The sequence below is a fragment of the Homo sapiens genome, chromosome 5 (assembly GCF_000001405.40).
Source record: "Homo sapiens chromosome 5, GRCh38.p14 Primary Assembly".
In the NCBI taxonomy this organism is placed as follows: Eukaryota; Metazoa; Chordata; class Mammalia; order Primates; family Hominidae; genus Homo; species Homo sapiens.
This window is the reverse complement of record NC_000005.10, coordinates 95,121,143-95,145,771: the sequence shown is the minus strand read 5'-3', so window position 1 is coordinate 95,145,771 and position 24,629 is coordinate 95,121,143. Positions and strand designations below refer to the sequence as shown.

Here is a 24,629-nt window from a genome sequence, read left to right as displayed (position 1 = left end):
ATATCAAAAGTTAATTAGTCATGATCAAATATACTGTGTTCCCGGGATGCAAGGTTGGTTCAACATATGCAAACCAATAAATGTGATTCACCACATAAACAGAATAAAAAACAAAACCCATATGATTATCTTAATAGATGTGGAAAAACTGATGAAATCTGATATCCCTTCATGTTCAAAACCCTCAACAGCTTATGCATTGAAGACACATACCTCAAAATAATAAGAGCCATTCATGACAAACCCACAGTCAACATCATACTGAATAGGCAAAAGTTGGAATCATTCCTCTTGAGAACTAGAACAAGATAAGGATGCCCACTTTCACCACTCCTATTCAACATAGTATTGGAAGTCCTGGCCAGTGCAATCAGGCAAGAGAAAGAAATAAAAGACATCCAAATAGGAAAAGAAGTCAAAGTATCTCCCTCTGCTGAATATATAATTCTATACCTAGAAAACCCCAAAAGACTGCACCAAAATGTTCCTGGAGCTGATAAATGACTTCAGTAAACTTTCAGTATACAAAATCAAATACAAAAATCAGTAACATTTCTATACACCAATAACATCCTAGCTCTGAGCCAAATCAAGAACACAATCCCATTTAAAATAGCTGCAAAAAATTGAAGTATCTAAGAATGCATCTAAACAAGGAGGTGATAGATCTCTACAAGGAGAACCATAAAACTGCTGAAAGAAATCATAGATGGCACAAATAAATGGAAGAGTATTCCATGCTCATGGATTAGAAGAATCAATATCATTAAAATGGCCATATTTCCCAAAGCAATTTACAGATTCAATGCCATCTCTATCAAAATATCAACGTCATTTTTTCCACAGAAGTAGGAAAAAAACTATTCCAAAATTCATATGGAACCAAAATATCCAAAATAACCCTAAGTAAGAAGAACAATGTCAAAGGCATTATGTGACCTAACTTCCCACTATACTACAAGGCTATAGTAACCAAAACAGCATGGGACTATTATAAAAACAGATACACAGACCAATGGAACAGAGTAGAGAACTCAGAAATAAAGTCACAGAGGTACAACCATCTGATCATTGACAAAGCTGACAAAAATGAGCAATGGTGAAATGATTCCCTATTTAATAAATGGCGTTGGGATAACTGGTTAGTCCTATGCAGAAGGATGAAACTAGACTCATAAAACCCCTACATTCCACCATATACAGTAACTAACTCAAGATGGATTAAACATTTAAGGGTAAGACCTCAAACTGTAAAAAACAAAGCCGAAAATACTCTTCTTAACACTGGCTTTGGAAAATAATTGATGGCTAAGTCTCCAAAAGCAACTGCAACAAAAACAAAAATTGACAAGTGGAAACTAAACAAACTAAACAGCATTTGCACACCCAAAGAAATTATCAACAGAGTAAGCAGACAGCCTATGGAATGGAAGAAAATATTCATAAACTATGCATCTGACAAAGATCTGTTATCCAGAGTCTACAAGGAACTTAAATCCACAAACAAAAACCAAATAATTCAATTAAAAAATGGGCAAAGGACATGAACAGATACTTTTCAAAAGAAGACATACAAGCGGCCAACAAATATATGAAAAAGTGCTTAACATTACTAATCATTAGAGAAATGCAAATCAAAACCACAGTGAGATACCAACTCACACCAGTCAGAATAACACTTATTAAAAAGTCAAAAGATAGTAGATGCTGGTTAGGCTGCAGAGAAAAGGGAACTCTTAGACACTGTTCGTAGGAATGCAAATTAGTTCAGTCACTGTGGAATGAATGCAGTTTGGAGATTTCTCAAAGAACTTCAAACAGAACTACCATTTGACCCAGCAATCCCATTACTAAATATATACCCAAAGAAAAATAAATTTTCTACATAAAAGATACATGCACTTCTATGTTCATCACTGTGCTAGTCACAAAAACAAAGACATGGAATCAACTTAGGTGCCTAGCAACAGTGGACTGGATAAAGAAAATATGGTACATACACTCCATGGAATAATATGCAGCCATAAAAAGAACAAGATCATGTCCTTTGCAGCAACATGGATGCAGCTGGAGGCCATTATTCCAAGTGAATTAATGCAGGAACAGAAAACCAAATGCCGCATGTACTCACATGTAAGTGGGAGCTAAAATTAAATACAAATTGACACAAAGATGGAAACGGTAGAAACTGGTGACTATTAGAGGAGGAAGGGAGGGAGGGGAAGATGGGCTGAAAAACTGCCTATTGGGTACTATGCTTACTACCATCTGTACCCCAAACCATGGAATCACACAATATACCCGGGTAAAAAACCTGCACATGTACTCTCTGAATCAAAAAATAAACTATTTAAACACTGCTTAAATCAGCTGAGGAGTTGCATTTCTGGCTCCTAGAAATTTTATTTATGAATGTAAAACAGTATATTTTACAACTTTACAGCAAGATGTGTTGTTTGTAGCAAATTGGGTTAATTTGTGACCTGAAGAATAGGAAAAATTTTTGTTAAAACCTATGAGCCTATTGGTGAGAAAGAAGCCTGTTTCCCATGAATAATTTAATAAAGATAAACTGAGCTGCATGCCATTCTTCTATATTCTGCTACCAAGGATGAGCAGGGCTTCATGGTGGGCTGGTGTCCTGTGGAAGGAGGAATGCCTATAATACATGGTAACTGTCTTTGGTGTAGTGAAAGTGGATGCTTCTTAGTAACCCATATTCTTGTTGCTTTTTGGCCATTCTGTCTTTCCTTTTAGAATTTTAATTTTCTTGTTATGAAAAAAACAGTATATTTTATTTGCACAGTGGTGTTTATAGTTTATAATTGTCTTGCATGTCCATCATATTTAAAGCACTAGCTGTTTGTTCACCGGCTCGAGTTGCTCCATGACTTTAGCTACATAGTTTATCTCCTCCCATACCCTTACTCTTTTTCTTTTAAAAATATTATTTTATTTATTAGTGGATAATCAAGGTTTCATGCTATCTATGCTGTGTTGGAGGTGAAAGATTCAGGGCAATTGTTGGTCAGAGGCCGGTGAGCTCTTTTCATTCCCATTGATTCTATTCCCGTAGATGGTGAATTTTGACTTGGAAACCAGTTTTTATTAAGTTCTTAAAAATTTATTCAACAGAGGTTTAATTTAAAGGTTAGCTTTTCATGACTTTTTTCTTCCAGTCCCTGCTTGTATTGTATTTCCTTTCTTTATCCACAGTGACTATAATGATGGAAAAGACAATCGTGATTTTTGGTTTTATGGGAACTGAAGACTTTGATCACATATGTCTGCAGGGAAATGTGACATAGGGCCTAAACTGAAAAGAAATTTCCAAGCATGCTGGGGAGTTGTTCCTTATATAGAAATCTCATGTTTGATTCCTAATTATAATCTCGTGTTCTATTGTAAAAAGTTTCCTGTTAGCTTTATTTCTTGGCAGACAGCTCAAATTAGTAAAAACAATAGAGACGTATCATAAGCCACACTTCTTCTTATCTGGAGACTTGGCAATTTGGAGAATTACATGGTGTTTTTTTCTGGAGACAATGACCAAGCTAAAATCTGTGTTGTTAAAATCCCTAATAATTGAAGTTAACTTTACATATAGCCTTCATGAGACCTGCATTAGAAACATTAGACAATTATATAATAAAAAGAAATAGTGGGGAAAATTCTTATGTCAAGTTCATCTGAGTCAATGAAGAAATAATTTTGAAATGTTTTTTGAAAGGAATGAAGTTTTATCTCCTTTCATTTGTAGTAGCTCTTCTTGAAAAACATTTTTAAGCATATAGTAGATGACTTGTCATTGTTGAAAGTGGAAACTGGTAGTAAGTAAAGGCTTATTATACTTATTCAGATAGTTTTTATTAAAGTCTTTACCAATAACTTTTCTAAGAAAGTGATCAGCATGAAGTTTATTGCCTATTTGCCTAACACAAGTGTCTGAACTACATTAATAAAAATCCTGCTCTAAACATATTTTATGTTTTTATATGAAAACCAGCACTGGCACACCAGAAAAAAAGAAAGAAAAGTAGGATAGAAGAAAGGAAGGAAGGGAGGGAGGGAGAGAGAAAGATGGGGTAGGGAGAGCAAGGAGAAAGAGAAATGAAATCAAGAAGACAATGAAGATGAGCAGAACAGTGATGATCAGATCCAGGGACATGAAGGCATTCTTTTGACACTTCGGTATCAGGTAACAAAAAGTAAAACACAATGAAACTATCTAGGACTTTGCCTTCAAAAAATAGCCAAACTCTCATGTTGTTGCACACATACAACAGTGACCTAAATTGAGCCAGAGTCAGAGAATACCCCAGCTGTGTTCACAAGGGCTAGACGCTGAGAGGCAGATATTCCAGATTTAATCTGCAGAGTAACTGTAGGTATTTAGTGGATTACTGAAGTGTTTTTAAAACAAACTGTGGTCTTGAGTAACCAGCATACGCCCGTGGCAATCATTTTACACATTTTATTTGCTTCATCAAATTCTTTTAAATGTCTGTAACTAAAGCAAAGGTTAACTTTTGATAAGAGATTCCAAATTTATACAATCCAAATTAGTGAGATTTTACTTGAATGTCAAAAGTTATGTATCTTACTCTTAGTTAATAAGCCTGAGTAAGCTGAAGTGAAAAAAGTTTCAAATCAGTATAACCCCGTCTTTAAGGTTTTTAGGAAAGAGAGATGGCATAGGTAAACTCCTCTACCGTGAAGGTGAGCTGATGATATTCTTGATAAGGATAGATACACCAAGTTTCTTGGACTTGTCTTATGCCTCCTCCATTAGAAACCACTTCATTCTGAAACTGTGATCATAGAAGGGATGCATAATCTTTTCTAGTACATTCTCGTTAAATGGCACTTTTTTTTTTTTTTTTTTTTTTTTTGAGACGGAGTCTCGCTCTGTCGCCCAGGCTGGAGTGCAGTGGCGCAATCTCTGCTCACTGCAAGCTCCGCCTCCTGGGTTCACGCCATTCTCCTGCCTCAGCCTCCCGAGTAGCTGGGACTGCAGGTGCCCACCACCACACCCGGCTAATTTTTTTTTTTTTTTTTTTTTTTTTTTTTTTTTTTTTAGTAGGGACAGGGTTTCACGGTGTTAGCCAGGATGGTCTCGATCTCCTGCCTCGTGATCCACCCGCCTCGGCCTCCCGAAGTACTGGGATTACAGGCGTGAGCCATCGCGCCCGGCCGTTAAATGGTTCTTAAAGCAAAAAAATAGCCCAAAAGTTTTGTGACAGCAGTTTTTGAGAGACTGAAAAGAATATGCTTTTACCCTTTAAAATTTTCAAATCTTCAAAATACCAGTCTATTTTAAAAGTTTCTGCTTAGAATAATTTGCTGTTTGATGAAAATGCCTTCTGTCCTCCTAAGGTCTCTTCTGGACTATAGAGAAGTAACAAAAGTACCAATTGTGTGCATTTTTTCCCGTGTTACTAATTGCCTTAAACACCTTCAATATCCTGCTGCAAAGTCCCGGGTTGCAGATGAGGACATGAATGATAGCTGGCACTGTGGAAAACAGGACCAGAATCAATGAAACAGATGGCAAAAAACACATTTTTGCAAATATAAATTTTTTTGAAGAGAGAGTGAATGATTACTTTCCTGGAGGCAAAAGCCTATCCATCCTCTCTAGAAATGAGATGCCTTTTCTGCAATTCCAAATCTTGTCTGCATTGGAAGCATGAGTGTCATTGGAAGGTAGAGGTCAAGCTGAGATGAAAGTGGGTTTAGCTTTGGATGAGGGGATTCCAGCATGGAAGAGCAGCTCAGGGAGACCATCAAGTTCTCTTTAAGCTACACTTTTAAATTTAATGATTTTGATGTTTTTCTGTTTCTTCTCTGGATCATTTTATTTTTAAAGCAAAGCTTGTAAATATTAAAGTTGATTACCATTCCGTTATTCATTTATTATTCAACCATTTATTAAGCCCTATGCATCAGGCTGTGGGCTAGATAATAAGACAAAAATTAAGGAAAATTTTCACTTTTAAGGAGCTCTCAGTTTAGTGGCAAATGGGGCCAATACCACTTAACATTGTTCATAAGGAAACAGCTTCTGTGGATCTGCAGTTGTTTAGAGTTAGATGTGTTCTTGGATATGTAACTAAAAATAGAAACCTTTGATCTAGAAATTAACCTTTGGTGAGTAGCAAGAATTTATCTTTTTAAAATTAACTTTTTAAAATAAGGTTGATTTTGAGACTCCTTTTAAAAATTCCTTTGGCTAAAATAGCTTTGGAAAAAAAGGGGAAAATGTAAAAAAAGAAGCTCTCTTGTTCCCTAAGTGAGAGGCAAAGATATTGCAACAGGCAAATCTTGCTCTCACCTGCACTCATTTTCATTTGACATGGTGCAATGTTTAGATCTTTTTATTTCCTTAAGAAATTTGCATTTGCCGGAAAGAAAAGCATGCAAATATCTGTAAATCTCTAACCCTGTTTCCTCATGTTGGGTATATTCTCACAAAGCCTTCTAGATTACAAAGACATTAAGAATAATATAATTCAGCTCTATTTTCTTTGTTTTGAGCAGCAAATGTTTCTGGCAATTAGCATGCATCCATTAATTTTCTATGCTTAGAGTTTTTATTTTGGGCTTTAACATGAAGATCTAACTTTTTTGATGGATGTGTTCAATCATAATTATGTTTCTTAGCTGATGTTAAACTAATACGACTATTTGAAAGGAAAAAAAAACCCTAAATGTTTTATACAAGTTCTAAATATTAAATATTTTGAACATATAAACTCTAATTTTAAGATCACACTGACAACCTTATAATGTGTGTGTGTATGTGTGTATAATATACAGATAGAGAAACAGATCTAAATGAAGACTGTGACAAATTCGACACATCAGAAAAAGAATTAATTGAAAATAACTGATAATGAGATTGTCCACATACATTACAACTAGTTAAAAATTGCCTATCCAGCTAACGGGCAGGGTGTACTTTGCACACTAGAGGCAGTGACAACACCCTAAATGCACAAAGAAAAGATAAAGAAGATAATAATACCTTGTGATAAGGAATCCAGAGAGGGATGTGAGAGGGAGCAGCCGGTGGAGTGAGGGCAGCTGGAGGGACGGCGGCTCACATGGCAGTCAGTGGTGGTCTCTGTGAGGGGGTCATTCCTTTGGTTAGCAGACCTATTCCTGGACTCTTCAGAGGCCCTTCCAGACCAGTAACACTCATTCCAGGAAACCTCTCTTTAAATAGTTTGCTGTTTGTATAATAAGGCATTTTAGAAAGGAAACTTAAACGGAAAGAACAGATGATTCTTTGTGTATGCGACTAATTTAGTTTCCATCATTATGACACTTGCTCTTCTAGAAAGTTACAGGAGAGGATAGTGAGAAAAACCTGGATGGAGATTGACAAGGCTGTGTTCTTATTCAGCTCCACTGCTGCCATCTTCATAAGCTCTCTGGGCCTTGTTTTCTCATCTAAAAAGTGGCGCAGCTAGTCTCAATGCTCATATATTCCCATCGAGCTCCAAAACACATATTATTTTAATGTCGGGGGGGGGTTGCATCTCACAGGAAAGTCTATGAATGCATCTTGGTACACAATCATAGTGAGTTCAGTAGCAGACATAGCACAGTTCTTCTCCTGGGAGAATGAGAAAAGAGCATGACTTGAAATTACTGTAAAAGATGACCAGAAAAACAAAAGTGGGAGAAAAACACTTCCTATTGAAAAAAAAATTTGAAGTAATCTGAAAACACATTTGCGTGATTGTTATCTAGAACTGGAATTTCAGTGTTTTCTGTAGGACTTTTATTAAGTATCATATTTCCTGTAATTCAATAGTCATACTATTCAATAGTAATATTGAATAGTACTCAGTAAATGTTTTCTAAGAACATGTTGCTTGCAAATCATCAAGTTTGGTTTGGCAGGGAATCAATATGTTCCCCACATTAGGGAAACAGCCTTTTTTGGTGATTGAGCAGACATTAAAAAAGCAGAATTATTAATTCATTTATGATGTTTGCTTTATTCCACAAATATTTGAAGCAGCTTACAATAATGTATATACTAATAGACAATCAGAATAAGGGAAAATATAGATGAAATGGAAAACAATATTAGACTAGAGATCTACATACAAGCAATAGATTTCCACAAATGTGCCACAGTTGAGGTGAAATTTTGTCTTTGATCTTAGTAGTGGCCAAAGCTAAAAGAGAAGTTCAATGTCCATGCAAATAAGAGGATGTCAACTCTTTAAGAGAGGCAAAATCTTTGCTAGAATCTAGACCTGAAAGATATTGCATGCAACTTTAGTTTTGGGGGATACTGTTTAATGATGATATGTATTGAGCACTTACTGTGTGCTAGGCATGGTACAAAGTGTTTTACAAGCATTCTCTCATAAATCTTCACAGCAACTCTGTGAGCCAGGGACTATCGTGTTATTGACGACAATGCTGAGGCTTGGAGAATCCAATAAACTTTACATAATACATAGTAACAACTGGAAGCAGTGCTTGAACAATTGCGGAATCTATCCTCTTCATCACTAGGTTATACTTCCCCCGAAGCAAGCTTCCTGCCTCCTCTAGTGAGGCTCTAGGTCCTAAGCTACAAGCCAGCAACAAATACAGCACTAGATTTCATAAGGCTGTTGCTTATAACATCGCTGAAGGTAAGCAGGGGGCATCACACTGAAGGAATTCAGGAAAGAATTTCTGCTATAAGCTGAAAATGAATAAGTGAAATACCTTAGTAATTCTTTTCATTGTTGAGGTTTTAAACCTAGGCTGTCTAGATGAGTGGGTGGCATATACTTCACAAATAACCTTTACAAAATATAATTTTTCTCCATTGTAGTCTTGATGAAATTGATCAGGAAATAGTTCCAGGCAAGAGTCTGAAGTTACTCTTTGTTGACTGAAAGGCAGATCAATGTGAGGCAGGAAGATGTAGTGACTATTGCTCTGCCTTGAAGGCATCTAGACCTCTGTTAGTGCTCTGGCTGTGCCTCTTCCTAATTGTGAGATTCTGGACCAGGTACACAAATCTCCTTGTCTCAGTTTCTTCATCCGTAAAATAGGGATACTAATAGTATTTACATATAAAATTATTGTAAAGATTAAAAACATAGAGTCGGACACATTGTAAACTCTATTGTGAGCTAGAGCGTCTTCTCTCACTCTTCTCTCTTCTTGACTTCCTTCCGCAAAGATTTCCTCCCTTCCCCACTTCCCTCCCCCTTGAATTTTCCCTGTCCCCAACTTTTTTCCTCGCCACTTCATCTCTGTCTCCAGCTTCCCGTTTTCCATCTTCCTTCTCCTCTCCCTCTTCATCCCAATTCATCTTTTACATAATTGAGCAGATAGCTTAACTTAACATCTCATCACAAATCAGAGATACCAAGCCTGAACCCTTCCTGAATGAATAGAGCCATTTGCTTAAGAGACCAGCCCAAAGGATAACAAGAATTGTCTGGGAAGACAAAGGAAGTAAAATGTTTTGGGGGAGTACACAGGAGCAAGTTATTTCTTCTTGTGGGTGTTAGGGAAGGATTCACAGAGGAGTGATATTTCATTGGGTCTTCAGAAATAAGACCAGTGGATAAGGTTGAAGAGAGGGAGAAGGGATACCAAGGCTTAGAAATAATGATTACCAAGACATGTACATGAGGAGAAGCAAGTGCTTAAATGTTCTGGGAAGGTAGAAGGCTGATGCTATGCAGGAGATGAGGATAATAAAGTAGTTTAGGGACAGATTTTAAAACCTACTTCAATTATATTGAAATCTACTCTAATTGTAAGCTTCCAAGTGGATGCCAGAGTTGGCTTTCAATACATTTGCTTGTGATTCTCTGAAATGTATAATGTTTAATGAACTGATTTGGAACAATAAACCAGTTTTTACTGTAGTTGTTTTCAGTTTATTGAACCAAAATACTATTATGCTTACTGCATTAGTCAGGGTTCCCTAGAGGGACAGAACTAATAGGACAGACACATATATATAAAGGGGAGTTTATTAAGTATTAACTTACACAAACACAATGTCCCACAATAGGTTGTCTGCAAGCTTGAGGAGCATGGAGAGCCAGTCCGAGTCTCAAAACTGAAGAACTTGGAGAATGATGTTTGAGGGCAGGAAGCATCCAACACGGGAGAAAGATGTAGGCTGGGAGGCTAGGCCAGTCTTGCTTCTTCACGTTTTTCTGCCTGCTTTATATTCGATGGCAGCTGATCAGATTGTCTGCCTTCCCCAGCCCACTGACTCAAATGTTAATCTCCTTTGCCAGCACCCTCACAGATACACCTGGGAACAATACTTTGCATCCTTCAGTCCAATCAAGTTGACACTCAGTATCAACCATCACACTAAAGCTAATGATATTTCATTCAACTTGAAAACTTGTTTATTTTATAGGACTTTTTGGATTCAGGTTATAAACAATAAGTCATAGTTATCATTAATATTCTCAATTCACCACCATAGTGTATATTTTTCTTTCTTTCTTTGTGATTTGTTGATATTATGGTCCCTGACTGAAAAGTTGAGAATATGTATTCTTATTATCTACTATATCTTTCCAGAGTTATAGAATCTGTCTCCATATTTGTTTTGCAAACATAATTTCTTTTCTTTCAGATTTGTTTCTTTATACTGGTATTGGAACTATGCCTGATCTAGTGAAATACTGATTTTCACATACCTCAGTATCTGAATCTGACCTTTTTTTTTTCTGATCTGGAAAAAGAAGGAATTTTTTTTTTTTTTTTTTTTTTTTTTTTTTTTTTTTTGGCCATCAGGCAACAGTAAATCGAGATCCTTGAAGAGCAATGGAACTTAGAGGTTGTATTAAACCACAATTGCTTTCCAGAGACTGCCTATTATTTGGTCAAAAACAGTAACTTCAATTGTATTTTGAAAACTGAGAAGAAAGATTATTTTAATTAATTTATTATCTTCTGTAGTAAATTATTACAGTAATAGCTTCCAGTTAATCCAGCCTACCTGTATCATTGTCCCACTCTGACTCTGAGCTTGGCCATGTGATTTCCTTTGACCTGTATTAGCAAAGTGTTGCAAGCAGAGCTTTCAAGGGCACTTTAGCACAGGAGCTCTGTTTCTCTTGCTGCTTTTGGAACCCAGCTTTTGTGCAAAGAAGCCCTGGCTAGCCTGCTGGAGACCTGTGGCCAAGATGATAGCCAGCATCAACATAAGGGAGTGAGGCCTTCCTAGGCCATCCTGCCCCACCTGAAAAGCGGAAGGACTGCAGCTGCACGAGTGACTGAATCAGCAGAACTGACTGGCTGAATCCGCCCCAAATTGCCAACCCACTGAATTCTTGAGTTAATAAGGTGATTGTTGTTTTAAACCACTAAGCTGGAATGGTTTGTTCCACAGCAATACTGATACATTGTATGCCATTCTTTTATATGTAATCTTGCCTATAATGTGTGAACATTTGTACATATATCAGAATTTGGGCCAGATAAAATATTCAAATGCTTTTAGTGGAATCATGTTTAATAACTCAAGATATCATGAAAAATAGAGTTTCAAAAATCATAAACATACTACACTGATTAAAACACTTAACATTGGAAAAATAATGATCCGATAAATATTTACTCATTGTTTCCAATCTCACCTATTTATAGAATAGATTTGAAGCATCCTATGGTATTAAAACATGAAGATCCAAGGTAATTAAAGAGTAGAACAAGAATCAATTCAGAAGATCAGACAAACAGATGAAAAGTACGTGCCAAGCATGCACTAATTATTAGGATAAGGAGGTCAGCTTTGGTCCAACCTTCTTGATAGCCAAGAAACAGTGAAAATTTGGGGTTTTTACAGTTCTTATTCAAGTAGGAAGCAGAAAAATTCTTCTGAGGAACAAACCTTTTTTCTTTCCGTAGAAGAAACTTACTACATGGACCTTAATTGCAGACAATAGGTTTTTTATGAGAGTGGTCCCTGCTTATCTGTGGCTTCACTTTCCAGTTTCAGTCACCCATGGTTAACCAGAGCTCAAAAATACGTGAGTACAGTACAGTAAGATATTTTAAGAGAGGCTACATTCATACAATGTTTATTACAGTGTATTGTTTTATTTTATTTATTTATTTTTTGAGATGGAATCTTGCTCTGTTACCCAGGCTGGAGTGCAATGGCACGATCTCGGCTCACTGCAACCTTCACCTCCCAGGTTGAAGTGATTCTTCTGCCTCAGCCTCCCAAGTAGCTGGGACTACAGGCATGTGCCGCCACACCCGGCTAATTTTTTGTATTTTTAGTAGAGACGGGGTTTTGCCATGTTGGCCAGGCTGGTCTCAAACTCCTGACCTCGGCCTCCCAAAGTACTGGGATTACAGGCATGAGCCACTGCACCCGGCCTTATTACAGTATATTGTTATAGCTCCATTTTATTATTAGTTATTGCTAATCTCTTAATTTATAAATTAAACTTTATGATAGATATCTTTGTATAGGAAAGAACATAATGTATATGTATCATTCAGTGCTATCCATGGTTTCAAGTATCCAGTGGGGGTCTTGAAACATATCCCCTGTAGATAAAGGGAAGCTACTGTATGGTTTTACAAAAGTTATACCAATATTTTTCTAATGGGCATTTTTTATATTGTCTCCCATAAAAAGCTTAAGAATGAACGTATTTATGATCAAATCTTAAATCACCTCAGGACTTCTTTAAAGGGACCAGGTACTTAAGTGTGATGATTTTTTATGAGTTCTTCAGGTTAATGAAAGAGCTTGGTCACAATCTAGCTCCTAACCTGGTTCTAACAAGTGATTAGCACTTGAGATGTGAGTGCAGCATGGAGGAATGTACTTATTGAGCGAGGGGTCAGCACTAGGAACTTGAGGGACTATGGTGATCAAAACATCCATGATCCCTGCCCTCATTTTACATAGGTTAGTAAAGAGACAAGTATAAATCAAGTAGTCACCCAATATGTAACCATGCACAGTGATACATGCTACAAAGCCAAAGCTCATGAGACTTCTTCCCAATAGTGAGAGAAGGCTGCCCCGAGGAAATGATGTAAGCTGGGATCTCCTTGGTGAGATAGTGCTACCAGGTGAAAGGAGGGACAGTGGGGGGACAGCACACCTGGCAGAGGATAGAGCGGTTTGCCAAAGTGCTGAGGTCGCGGGACTGCAGAGCCGACGAGTCAGGGATCTGTAAGAAGGCAACTGCGCCTGAGATGAAGCTGCAGCCATCCGGCCTTCCGCACACTCATTTCTGCACATAGGAATTCTATCGGAATACTTCTCTGTTGTTTTATGCATTTTCCAGGTTTTCTCCATTTAGCACTTAATATTTCTGTATTGGAAAAAAATAGTTGTTTGTAAAAGATAGCCCTGTGAAATACAAAGAAGTGTCACTTTGCTGATTCTTCATGGCTTTGCCTCCTGTTGTGCTGAGTGTCCTAACTATACCAGTGGCACTTGATTTTAAAAATTAATTAAATCAGCAAGTGCTGGCAAAACAAAACACTGTCAAATGTGATTAGCCAAATTCCTCTTGAGAAGCAAGAGATGTTACAGAATGTTACTGGGGCTCCCTTCAATTCTGGTGACTGTAATGAGAGATTTTTTGCTGTTGTTAATTCTCTACGGAATTGTCATAACTCTTCATCCTTTCAGGATGGGTTTGACTTGAGAAAAGAGCTAAAAGCCATTTGGAACAAATTTCAATAAAGAAAATAGATAATCACATTGAAAAATGATGGTTATAGTGAAAAGTAAACTATATAAGGTAATAAGACTAATTTCTTGTGTGGCTCATAAACTGGGGCTTTAAAGAGTCTAAATATTTTTGAGTAATAGCATAATTGGAATAAGCCTAGAGTCCCCAAGGTGACAATTTCAAGGGACAACACACTTAAGTAATTAGAATTTTGGAATGCATGTTTTAAAAAATCAGTTTGCTTGATTTAATGAGATATATTTATTCATTCATTCAACCAGCCTTTATTGAATGACTACTCTGGGAACAGTTCTATTTTAGGTGCTTGGGATGGATCAAGGAATAAAACAGACAGAGATCCCTGTCCTAGAGGAATTTACATTTTAGTGTCATATAGAGAGATAAAGAGTAAATGAAATAAGTAAAGAAATCATAAATTATGTTAGAAGTATAACTACGATGACAAAAAAGAAAAAAAAATAGATCAGAGCAAAGATGATAAGAAATGTACCAGACTTATGCACCTAATATCATAAAACCAAAACCTGGCCCATCCTTTTCATTTATGATCTCAGCCTTGTACACTAAATAGTTTTAACTCTTGTGTTATATTATTAACTCTCACAATCTTTTGATCCAGTGAGTAAGGGAAAAGTCCTCAGCAACAAAATCTAGCCACATGAACAGAATCAGGTCTATTAAAATCAAGCCCAGTCTCCTTGCTTCACATTTTCAGGGGCTCAGCCTGAAACACAATTAACAAATGTGTTTCTCCCATGCTCAGCCTTGATGTTTCTCTCTTGCTCCTGCTTGCAGTGCCTCAGAGTTGAGAGTTAGGCACAAGTAGTGCAAGAAAGGCAATGTTTCCTTCCTTGTTGTCAAAGGCAACTCTGACAACATTGAGATCTGGAAAAGCACTCTATTTGTTGCTCTGTTACCACCAAAGAGCCTGAGAGTATTTCAGTGGGGCAAAGGGAAATGATGGACAGCGACATTGGCCACTAGCAGTTCTCAGAATGGATTGAATACTGTGAACCACCTAATTTTTAAGCATGGGTTAGATTAACTTTGTTAAAACAAAACAAAACCAAAACGTGTCCCGGAATTTTCCTCAAACAAATGTAAAGGCAGTTAAAATAATTTATTGATTGAATAATTCTTACCCTGAAATTCTAATTCCTTGCACCTAGCCAATTGTGTCCCCATTCTCAAAAATTCATATGTTGAAGTCCTAACCCCCAGCACTTCAGAATGTGACTGTATTTGAAAATAAGACCTTTGAAAAGGTAATTAAACTGAAATGAAGTCATTAGGGTAGGTGATAATCCCGTATGATTGGGGTCCTTCTAAGAGGAGGAAATTTGGCCACAGACACACAGAGGGACACAGGGAGAAGACAGCCATCGACAAGCCAAGAAGAGAGGCCTCAGAAGAAACCAACCCTGCCAACACTTTGATCTTGGACTTCTAGCTCCCAGGACTGTGAGAAAATGCATCTCTGTTTAAGCCACCCACACTGTGACATTTTGTTACAGCAGCCTTAGCAAACTAATACACTGAAAAATAAGCTGGGTCTGGAATCCATATCTTATTGGTTGTTAGCTATCAAAATAATTTAAAACTTTACCCTAGCATACATACAAGCCAGTTGTTGCTGCTACCTGTCTCTCTCACTCCCCATTTTATGTCTCTTGTCAGTGGAAACGAAGCACCAGTGCTTTGCTTATGAACTTACTGTCAGAAACCCATCCCACCTCATTTACCTCAAAGATTCCAGGAGGTAGGAGATAGGAGACACGTTTTTCTTACTGTATTAATCAGGCTTCTTCAACAGAATCAATAGGATTTACATAGATAGATAAGAGGAGTTTATTATGGGAATTGGTTCCTCATTATGGAAGCTGAGAAGTTGTCTGCAAGCCAGAGAGCCAGGAAAGTCAGTGGTATAATTCAGCCCTATTTCTAAGGTCCGAGAAGCTGGGGGACAGGGGGTGATACTGGTGTAAATCCTGGAGTCCAAAGGTCTGAAAAGCAGAAGCACTGATGTCCAAGGACAGGAGAAGATGGATGTTCCAATTCAAGGAGAGAGACAAAAAATTTGCCCATCCTCTGGCTGGGCAGGGTGGCTCATGCCAGTAATCCCAGTACTCTGGGAGGCCAAGGCAGGTGGATCGCCTGAGGTCAGGAGTTCGAGACCAGTCTGGCCAACACAGCGAAACCCTGTCTCTATTAAAAAGACAAAAATTAGCCAGGCATGGTGGCAGGTGCCTGTAATCCCAGCTACTCGGGAGACTGGGGCAGGGAGAATTGCTCGAACCCAGAAGGCGGAGGTTGCAGTGAGCCAAGATTGCGCCACTGCACTCCAGCCTGGGTGACAGAGCGAGACTTTGTCTCAAAAAAAAAAGAAAATGTGCCCATCCTCTGCCTTTTTGTTCTCTCTGAGCCCTCAAGGATTGAATAAATCTGTCTACATTGATCTTCTCTACTCAGTTTACTGATTTAAGTGCTAATCTCTTCTAGAAATGTACTCACAGACATACTCAGAAGTAATGTTTTACCATCTGTTTGGGCATCCGTTAGCCCTGTCAAGTTGACACAGAAAATTAACCAACATACTCACAAAAATACTGTGGAGCCATGCTCTGCTATGTGCCCTTTATTTGGCAGGTTAGGTAACTACTCTTGACAGAGGCTAAATGAAGACCAAGCGTGATGAACCATCTAGGAGAACACACTTCAGTCAGATAGTTTTCTGAGTTACATTTATCCCGTGCACTTGACAAAATTGATAAAACTTGCTTCAGATAAAGAAGCACTGAAAAATAAAAATACAATAACTTGATTTTTGCCCCCAGTGCTATCCCTCTTCTGTGAGATGTTCTTGAGCTAGTATTCACTTTAACCTTGCATGAAGTTTAGTAAAGAGTCTTTCTTTGATCTTTTGAAGACACTGGATACTTTGGTTTCCTTACTGTTTCATAAGCATGGATCTAATTTCATTTTCCCAATTAAACCTGAGCAATTATATATTTAGGCATCCTTTGCTCCTTTAGCTCTCTCCATTCCCAAACTTTTCCAGTTATTTTTTTCTTTGTCTCTTTTGGGGCGTTTCTTATTCCTCTTGCTGCTTAAATGTTGGTGTTCCCCAGGTTGCCACTTAGGGCCACTTTACATTGTTATTGTTGAAAGGGCTCTCGTCCACACTTTTTTGTAAACAGCTTTGTTGAGATATAATTCACATACTGTACAATTCATTTGTTGGAAGTATGTAATTCTTGCCTTTTAGTATATTCACAGAGTCGTGCATTGATCGCACAACCCGCTTTAGAATGTTTTCATTCACCCAAGAAGAAATCCTGTGCCCCTTAGTTATCACTCCCTAGTCTCTCCATCCTTCCTCCCCTTCCCCAGTCCTAAGCAACCACTAATCCACTTTCTGTCTACATAGATTTGCCTATTCTGAATATTTCATACAAATGGAATCATACAATACGTGGCCCTTTGTGACTGGCTTCTTTCACTTAGCATTATATTTTTAAGGTTCATCCATGTTGTAGCATGTATCAGTACTTCATTTCTTTAAGACTAAATAATATTCCCTTGTACATGTATACCACATTCTACTTACCCATTCATCAGTTGATGGGCATTTAAGTTGTTCCACTTTTTGGCTGTTATACATAATGCTAACATGAATGTTTATGTACAGTTTTGTGTGTACATATGTTTTTATTTCTCTTGCACATATAATTGCTCGGTCATATGGTAATTCTATATCTAGCCATTGAAGAATACTTTGAAGAACTGCTAGATTATTTTCCAAAGTTCTCATCTCTTCTTGTGGTTTGGGCCACCATAACTGGCTTTGATCATGGTCGTGTACCTTGCCATGGAGCTTTAGACAAGTGCAGGGTATTCACTATTGACTATACTTTTTCCTGTTTAGCCTTCCAGCCTTTAGCATTTTGCTCCTCAAGCCAACCCCTTCATAGGAGCCAGAGTGAACTGTCAAAAATACTTATCTAGGCAAGTCGTTTTCCTGTTTTAAGCCCTCGCATGGCTTTCTAGTATAACTTGATGGAGCCTAAGCCCTCTGTAACAAGGTGCAGAAGAACACCTACCATCTGGTCGCTGCCCAGCTCTCCAGCCTTGTCTTTCTCTCCTCCCTGCCTCCCATTCAGATTGCACCAGCACTTTATGGCTCCAGTTCCCCTTAGACATTATGCCTCCATCTTTGCACTTAAATCATACACATCTGCTTCTAGGCCCAGTCTGGGTTATTTTCAATTTGAGGTTTTTGGAGGTCACATTTGACTTTAAAGGTAAAAAGTTGAAGGATATTTACAGTACGGGTTGGAGTCATCTGCTGACCACTCACTCTCGTTGGATGTTTCAGGAGCTTCCTTCCCCGGTTCTTTTTCCTGGACACTGACCCCTGCATTCACAAGCCCGCAATCTGGGGTCAGTCCACCTCCTCTGTGCTCCTTAATGACTCGATGGGTTGTTAGAACGTTGAAGTACTTCCTCTCTCCTTGGCAAATAGATGCTCTTCCAAGTTGCCCAAGACTGCACCACCACCTCCACTGCCCTGAACCTGCCCAGGGCTCCCCAGATTTCCTCATGGTCCAACAGCAGAAGGACTAAGGAGCCCCCAGAATCTGCCCTGGCACTGTTGCAGGTCTGTCCTGTGTCAGTATCCCTGTGCCTTAGTTGTAGAAGGTCAACCCTGAGTATCCCACTGAAGAGCACTTTCTGCTTGTCATTCAATATATACCCCCAAAATACTGGTGGAATGAACAGATGAATGAGTAAAAACTTTTTTTTTTTCATTTGATGGCTAGATATCAATGGGAAAAACCACTTTTTAGATCTAATGCTGGTTTCTCTGGTCACGGACCCTTCAAGAATATTTTATTTGTCATCCAAATGGCATTAGTATTTATTGAAGGCTAGATGAGGAATTTGCCTGCTATATTTCTGAAATCACCAAAAAGGATGATGTTCTTTCTTGCATTGCTCTCTCATGAAAAATCACTCCTAAAAAGGTAGCTCAACCTGCTGCTTTGACTTCCTTCAGTAACACGGAGAGCTCAAGGGAATCGTTAAAGAAAAATCGGACATAATAAAATGTGGTTATTTTAAAATTTGTGGTTTCCGTTGATTTCTAAAGTAGGGAAAATAGATTTGCTTTTATATTACATATTTTTTCTCACTAGAGGTATTTTCAAAAATTAAATGAGTTGGGCACATTGAGTTTATTAAAAGGATTTGCCATTAATTGAAAAAAAAGCCTTCTTAGATGCTTCACATACTGTATATTAACCAAAAGTTTGAACAGTCACTTCCATGTATGAAAATGTACCTTGCAGATGTAGTATAGCATGATCCCAGAATTTACCTGCTTCAGCTTGTCAAAGTGCAATAAAATAATGACACACCAATATCAAAATTTCAAAGTTCTAGAGGATCAAGTCTGTCATTACATATAAGAAGATGCATATGTGTGCACACAGGGGGTGTTTATACGTCTAAAAAAACTGATTTTGGAAATTATATTTGGGAATGTTTGTGGACCTGTGTTTTTCATTGAGGTAGAGTTTTTCTTTAAACAGACCATTAGGTACATGAAAGTTAAAAATAAATGCATGCATGGTTTTCTGATTGTTCTTTTACTTCACTGTGGCTGTTATTTATGACTCGCCTTCATTTCTTTAATATGAGCCAAGTTAAACACAAGTAGCCCTCAGATATAACTGTTGTACTTTCACCATTATTGATACTAATCAATAAGTGGGAGGAACACAGAAATTGTCTGCAGCTGATGTCTTCAGTTTACCTCTGATGTCATTAAATGTAGAGGTAACTGGTTTCTCTGTTGACCCTCTTATTCAACAGTGCAGGCCTGGTGGTGAGAGATTCTGTTAGTTTCATCTGAGTATCTTCTCCCTCCCTTTTCTCCCCCCATAGCTCTAGCACATAGTATAAATTTAAAGCAAAACAAAAAACCAATTTATTGCATAGGTCAGCTCTGTTCTTTACTGAAATTTTTTTTAAAAAACAAAGAGGCACGAAAGAAAGTTTAATATGTTATCTTTCTTCATAGCTTTGTGTTAGATTTTTATAAGGATGCTTGCAGTTTTGGAGTAATTTGAAGAGAAGTTGAAGAAGGTCTTGTTGGATAATTAGACATTTGATATGTACAAATTAGGTCAATGAAAAATGAGTGAATTGAATTGGCTTTTTCAGACCTGATAAGTTGTAAACACTAATTTCAAAACATATAGTTTATGTATATGATTTCATTCATTTATACCCTGATTGTGCATTTACTGTGTTCCAAGTACTATTTCAAACCCTTGGAATACACCAGTCAATAAGGCACAATTTCTGTACTCATAAGGTTTTCATTTCCTTAAAAAGAACACAACAAATAAATAAAATGAAAAAGAATCAGGTAGTAATGAGTGTTAGGAGTAAAACAAGACACTGATTTCATAAAGCATCTTTGTGTGGGGATGGAGAATACTTAGATTGGCTAGAGAAAGTCTTGCTAAATTGGCAACATTTGAGCTGATGTCTCAACAACAAGGAGACTGCCAGGTGAAGGTTGTGGCTAGCGATTCCAGGAAGAAGAGTCTTTAGGAGAAAAGGCGTGGAGACTCAGGTGGCAGCTAAGGTCAGTTAGTTAACAGCAGACATTAGATTGTGATTATATTGTTGCTCTGTCCTCATTATAATAGATAATATGTTTAAAATTGTTCCACCAAAACTCAAACCAGACAAGTGGTCCACTTGGAAGTTAACAAATATATACTTGAATCATTTAAGCACCCTAAAAATGTAACTAACATCAATTAAACAAATGATTGGATTGGAAGATACAGCAGTCAAGAGTTGCACAATGGACTAACTTTCTAATAATTGATGGGTATTACTCCCTTCTCTTCTGCACAAAACATACACATCCAAATTCTTAGTGTGTGTAATATCAGTGTTGAAAAATCCTTGACCCTTAAAATGTTTTGCTGTTTAAGTATCAAAGTCCATTACACTTTATTTTTGATCTCTGATCACTACTGAAGGATCTTCAAAGAGATGTTATGATTTAGCTATAACCTGTTCTAGGTGAAGTGGTATCTTTGATGTCCAGATAAAAGCACTTTTCAGTTCTAACAAAACAAAATAAAAAGGTGTGCAGAAGATGAAAGTCCTCAGGTAATATAAGAAGAGAAGGAAAATATTGAGATAAATATCTTTGAGGTCTCCAACCACTTTTTATATTCCTAGTGAATAATTTGGACTAAGCGGTTTAGCCATGACAAAACCCTGCATAGTGGGATCATATATTTGAGGGAAATGATATAGAGTATAAGTTCTACAAACGTAGGAATTATGCTTTTCTTTCCTGTAAAGGCTGGGATAGGACTTTACCCCCAGCATATGCTTCATAAATGCCAGTGATGGAAAGGACAAGGACTACTGTACTTCAGGGTCATTTTAATGAGATAACAGATCAGCATGGAGTTCTGGAATCTTACTCATATTCAAACAAGCAAGTACTACATTTCAGAACCTAACATCTAACAGACATCTGTATTAGTCAAGGTTCTCCAGAGAAACAAAACCAGTAAGAGATTTATATGTTTAATCCATATACTTTTTGAGCCAGATTTTCTCATTTATAAAGTGCCTTTTTCCATTTTATAAAGATAGTCTTGACAGATAGCATGTGCTTTCCCACACAAATCTGTCAGCTCGCTCATCTTTATCCACCACACCCACCTATGGTTCAAATCTGAAAACGTTCCAAAGTAGAGTATGCCAGTCAGCTAGAGGCAGTTGGAGAAAAACTCAGAAGTAAAAATTCATCTTAAACCTTCATTTATCTGAGATCTAAGCTTCACCACAGTAGGTAACTGCTGGATGGATAAAGGTCTTAGTCAGCTGGGGCCTTTGTGGCATCTCTCAGGCTCCAGGTTGGGTATACAAACAGGATATTACTCTTAAATGTGTACGTGTTACCCTTGAGGACCACTTTAGGCATTTAGACATCCAGTAATGTCTGAGAAAACCCTTATTTGTACATTGATACATGGGCTTATTTTAAAAAATCAGAGCTTGTTGGCCAGGCGTAGTGGCTCATGCCTGTAATCCTAGCACTTTGAGAGGCCGAGGCGGGCGGATCATGAGGTCAGGAGATCGAGACCATCCTGGCTAGTATGGTGAAACCCCGTTTCTATTAAAAATACAGAAAATTAGCCGGGCGCAGTGGCGGGCGCCTGTAGTCCCAGCTACTCGGGAGGCTGAGGCAGGAGAATGGCATGAACCCGGGAGGCAGAGCTTGCAGTGAGCCGAGATCGTGCCACTGCACTCCAGCCTGGGCAACAGAGCGAGACTCCATCTCAAAAAAAAAAAAAAAAGCAGAGCTTGTTAGAATCCAAATACTTTCTTAGAAACCCAAAGTATATATCTTGTGCTGAATGATAAATTCTACCTCTCCTGTAGAAGCCCAGTAATATCTTCAGTGAAAGGGGGTGACAAACATTTCACATGGAAAGAGGTGGATGTTCTTGGAAAACTCAAGGTGGATGTCATTTCTTAAAAGAAAAATATTTTCCTTTCTGAAGTACACATTATGGATCCTCAGCGACATTTATTTAAGGAGAGGCCTGCAATGAGTCTAAGCTCATAAATCTTGTTTACTGTTCTTCTCCTAATCCAGTGGATAAGAAAAATCAGACTCTTTACATATTATATTCTGTTCCTCCATTTTTTTTTAGTTGTGCTAGCCAGATTTTATTTTTAATTTTTGTGGGTACATAGTAGATATACATATTTATGGGTTACAGGAGATGTTTTGATACAGGCATGTAATGTGTAATAATCATATCAGGGTAAATGGGGTATTCATCACCTCAAGCATTTATTCTTTGTGTTAAAAACAATTTAATTATACTCCTTGAGTTATTTTAAAATGTACAATTATTTTTTACTGTAGTCACCCTGTTGCACTGTCAAATACTAGGTTTTATACTAACTATATTTTTGAACCCATTAACCATCTGCACTTTCTTCTCATCTCCCCACTACCTTTCCCAGCCTCTGGTAACCGCCCTTCTACTTATTTTAATTTTTAGTGCCCACAAATAAATGAGGACATGTGAAGTTTGTCTTTCTGTGCCTGGCTTATTTCATTTAACATAATGACCTCCAGTTCCATTTATGTTGTTGCAAATCACAAGAACTCATTATTTTATAGCTGAATAGTACTCTATGTGTATATGTATCACATTTTCTTTATCTGTTCATCTGGTGATGGCCACTTAGATTGATTCCAAATCTTGGCTATTGTGAATAATGCTGTAATCCACATGGAAAGGCAGATACCTCTTCAATATACTGAATTCCTTTCTCTTTGGTGTATACCTAGGAGTGGAATTGTTGGATAGTATGGTAGCTCTATTTTTAGTTTATTGAGGAACCTCCAGGCTGTTTATAGTGGTTGTACTAATTTACATTCCCACCCAGAGTGCGGGAGGGTTTCCTTTTCTCTATATCCTTGCCAATATTTGTTATTGCCTGTCTTTTGGATATAAGCCATTTTAATTGGGGTGAGATGATATCTCATTGTTGTTTTGATTTGCATTTTTCTGATGATCAATGATGTTGAGCACCATTTCATATACCTGTTTGCAGTCTTTATGTCTTCTTTTGAGACATGTTTATTCAGATCTTCTGTCTATTTTCAATTCAGATCATAAGATTCTTTTCCTATAGAGTCGTTTGAGCTCCTTATATATTCTGATTATTAACCACTTGTCAGATGGATAGTTTGCAAATGTTTTTTCCCATTCTGTGGGTTGTCTTTTCACTTTGTTGATTGTTTACTTGGCTGTTCAGAAGCTTTTCAGTTTGATGTAATCCAATTTGTCCATTTTTGGTTTGATTGCCTGAGCTTGTGGGGTATTACTCAAACGATCTTTGCTCAATCCAGTGTCCTGGAGAGTTTTCTCAATGTTTTCTTTTAGTAATTTCATAGTTTGAGGTCTTAGATTTAATTTTTAATTCATTTTGATTTGATTTTTATATATGGTGAGAGATAGGAGTACAGTTTCTTTCTTTTTTTTTTTTTTTTGCATATGGATATCCAGTTTGACCCCCACCATTTATTGAAGAGGCTGTCGTTTCCCCAGAATATCTTCTTGGCACTTTAGTCAAAAATGAATTCACTATAGATGTACGGATTAATCTCTGTGTTCTCTATTCTCTTTCACTGATCCATGTGTCTCTTTTTATGCCAGTACCATGTTACTGTAGTTCTGTAACATAAAGTCAGGTAATACGATTCTTCCAGTTTTGTTCTTTTTGTTTAGGATAACTTTGGCTATTCTGGGTCTTTTCTGGTTCTATTTAAATTTTAGGATTTTTTTTTTCTATTTCTATGAAGAATGTCGTTGATATTTTGATAAGGATTACATTAAATGTATAGATTGCTTTGGTTGGTATGGACATTTTAACAATATTAATTCTTCTAATCCATGAACATGGGATATCTTTCTCTTTTTTGTGTCTTCTTTTCTTTCTTGCATTCTGTGTTTTATAGTTTTCATTGTAGAGATCTTTCACTTCTTTAAGTTAATTCCTAGGTATTTTATTTTATTTGTGGTTATTGTAAATGGAATTACTTTCAAGATTTGTTCTTCAGATGATTGCTTTTGGCATACAGAAATGCTACTGGTTTTTGTATGTTGATTTTGTGTCCTGCAACTTTTTTTTTTTTTTTTTTTTTTTTTTGTGATGGAGTCTCGCTCTGTCACCCAGGCTGGAGTGCAGTGGCATGATCTCTGCTCACTGCAAGCTCCGCCTCCTGGGTTCACGCCATTCTCCTGCCTCAGCCTCCTGAGTGGCTGGGACTACAGGCACCCGCCA

The 24,629-nt window shown here is 37.5% G+C and overlaps 1 protein-coding gene and 1 long non-coding RNA gene across 21 annotated transcripts in view; one reads left to right on the top strand and one right to left on the bottom strand.

Moving 5' to 3' along the window:
• The window catches only part of LOC105379085 (uncharacterized), a 121,023-nt gene extending 113,825 nt beyond the window's left edge, over positions 1-7,198 (bottom strand). For both annotated transcript variants that reach the window (XR_948575.3, XR_948578.3), the window contains exon 1: positions 7,028-7,198. This is a non-coding gene — a long non-coding RNA (uncharacterized LOC105379085). The remainder of the gene's footprint in view (positions 1-7,027) is intronic.
• Positions 1-24,629, top strand: part of MCTP1 (multiple C2 and transmembrane domain containing 1) — a 581,405-nt gene that overhangs the window by 139,323 nt on the left and 417,453 nt on the right. The gene's annotated exons all lie outside the window — the stretch shown is intronic.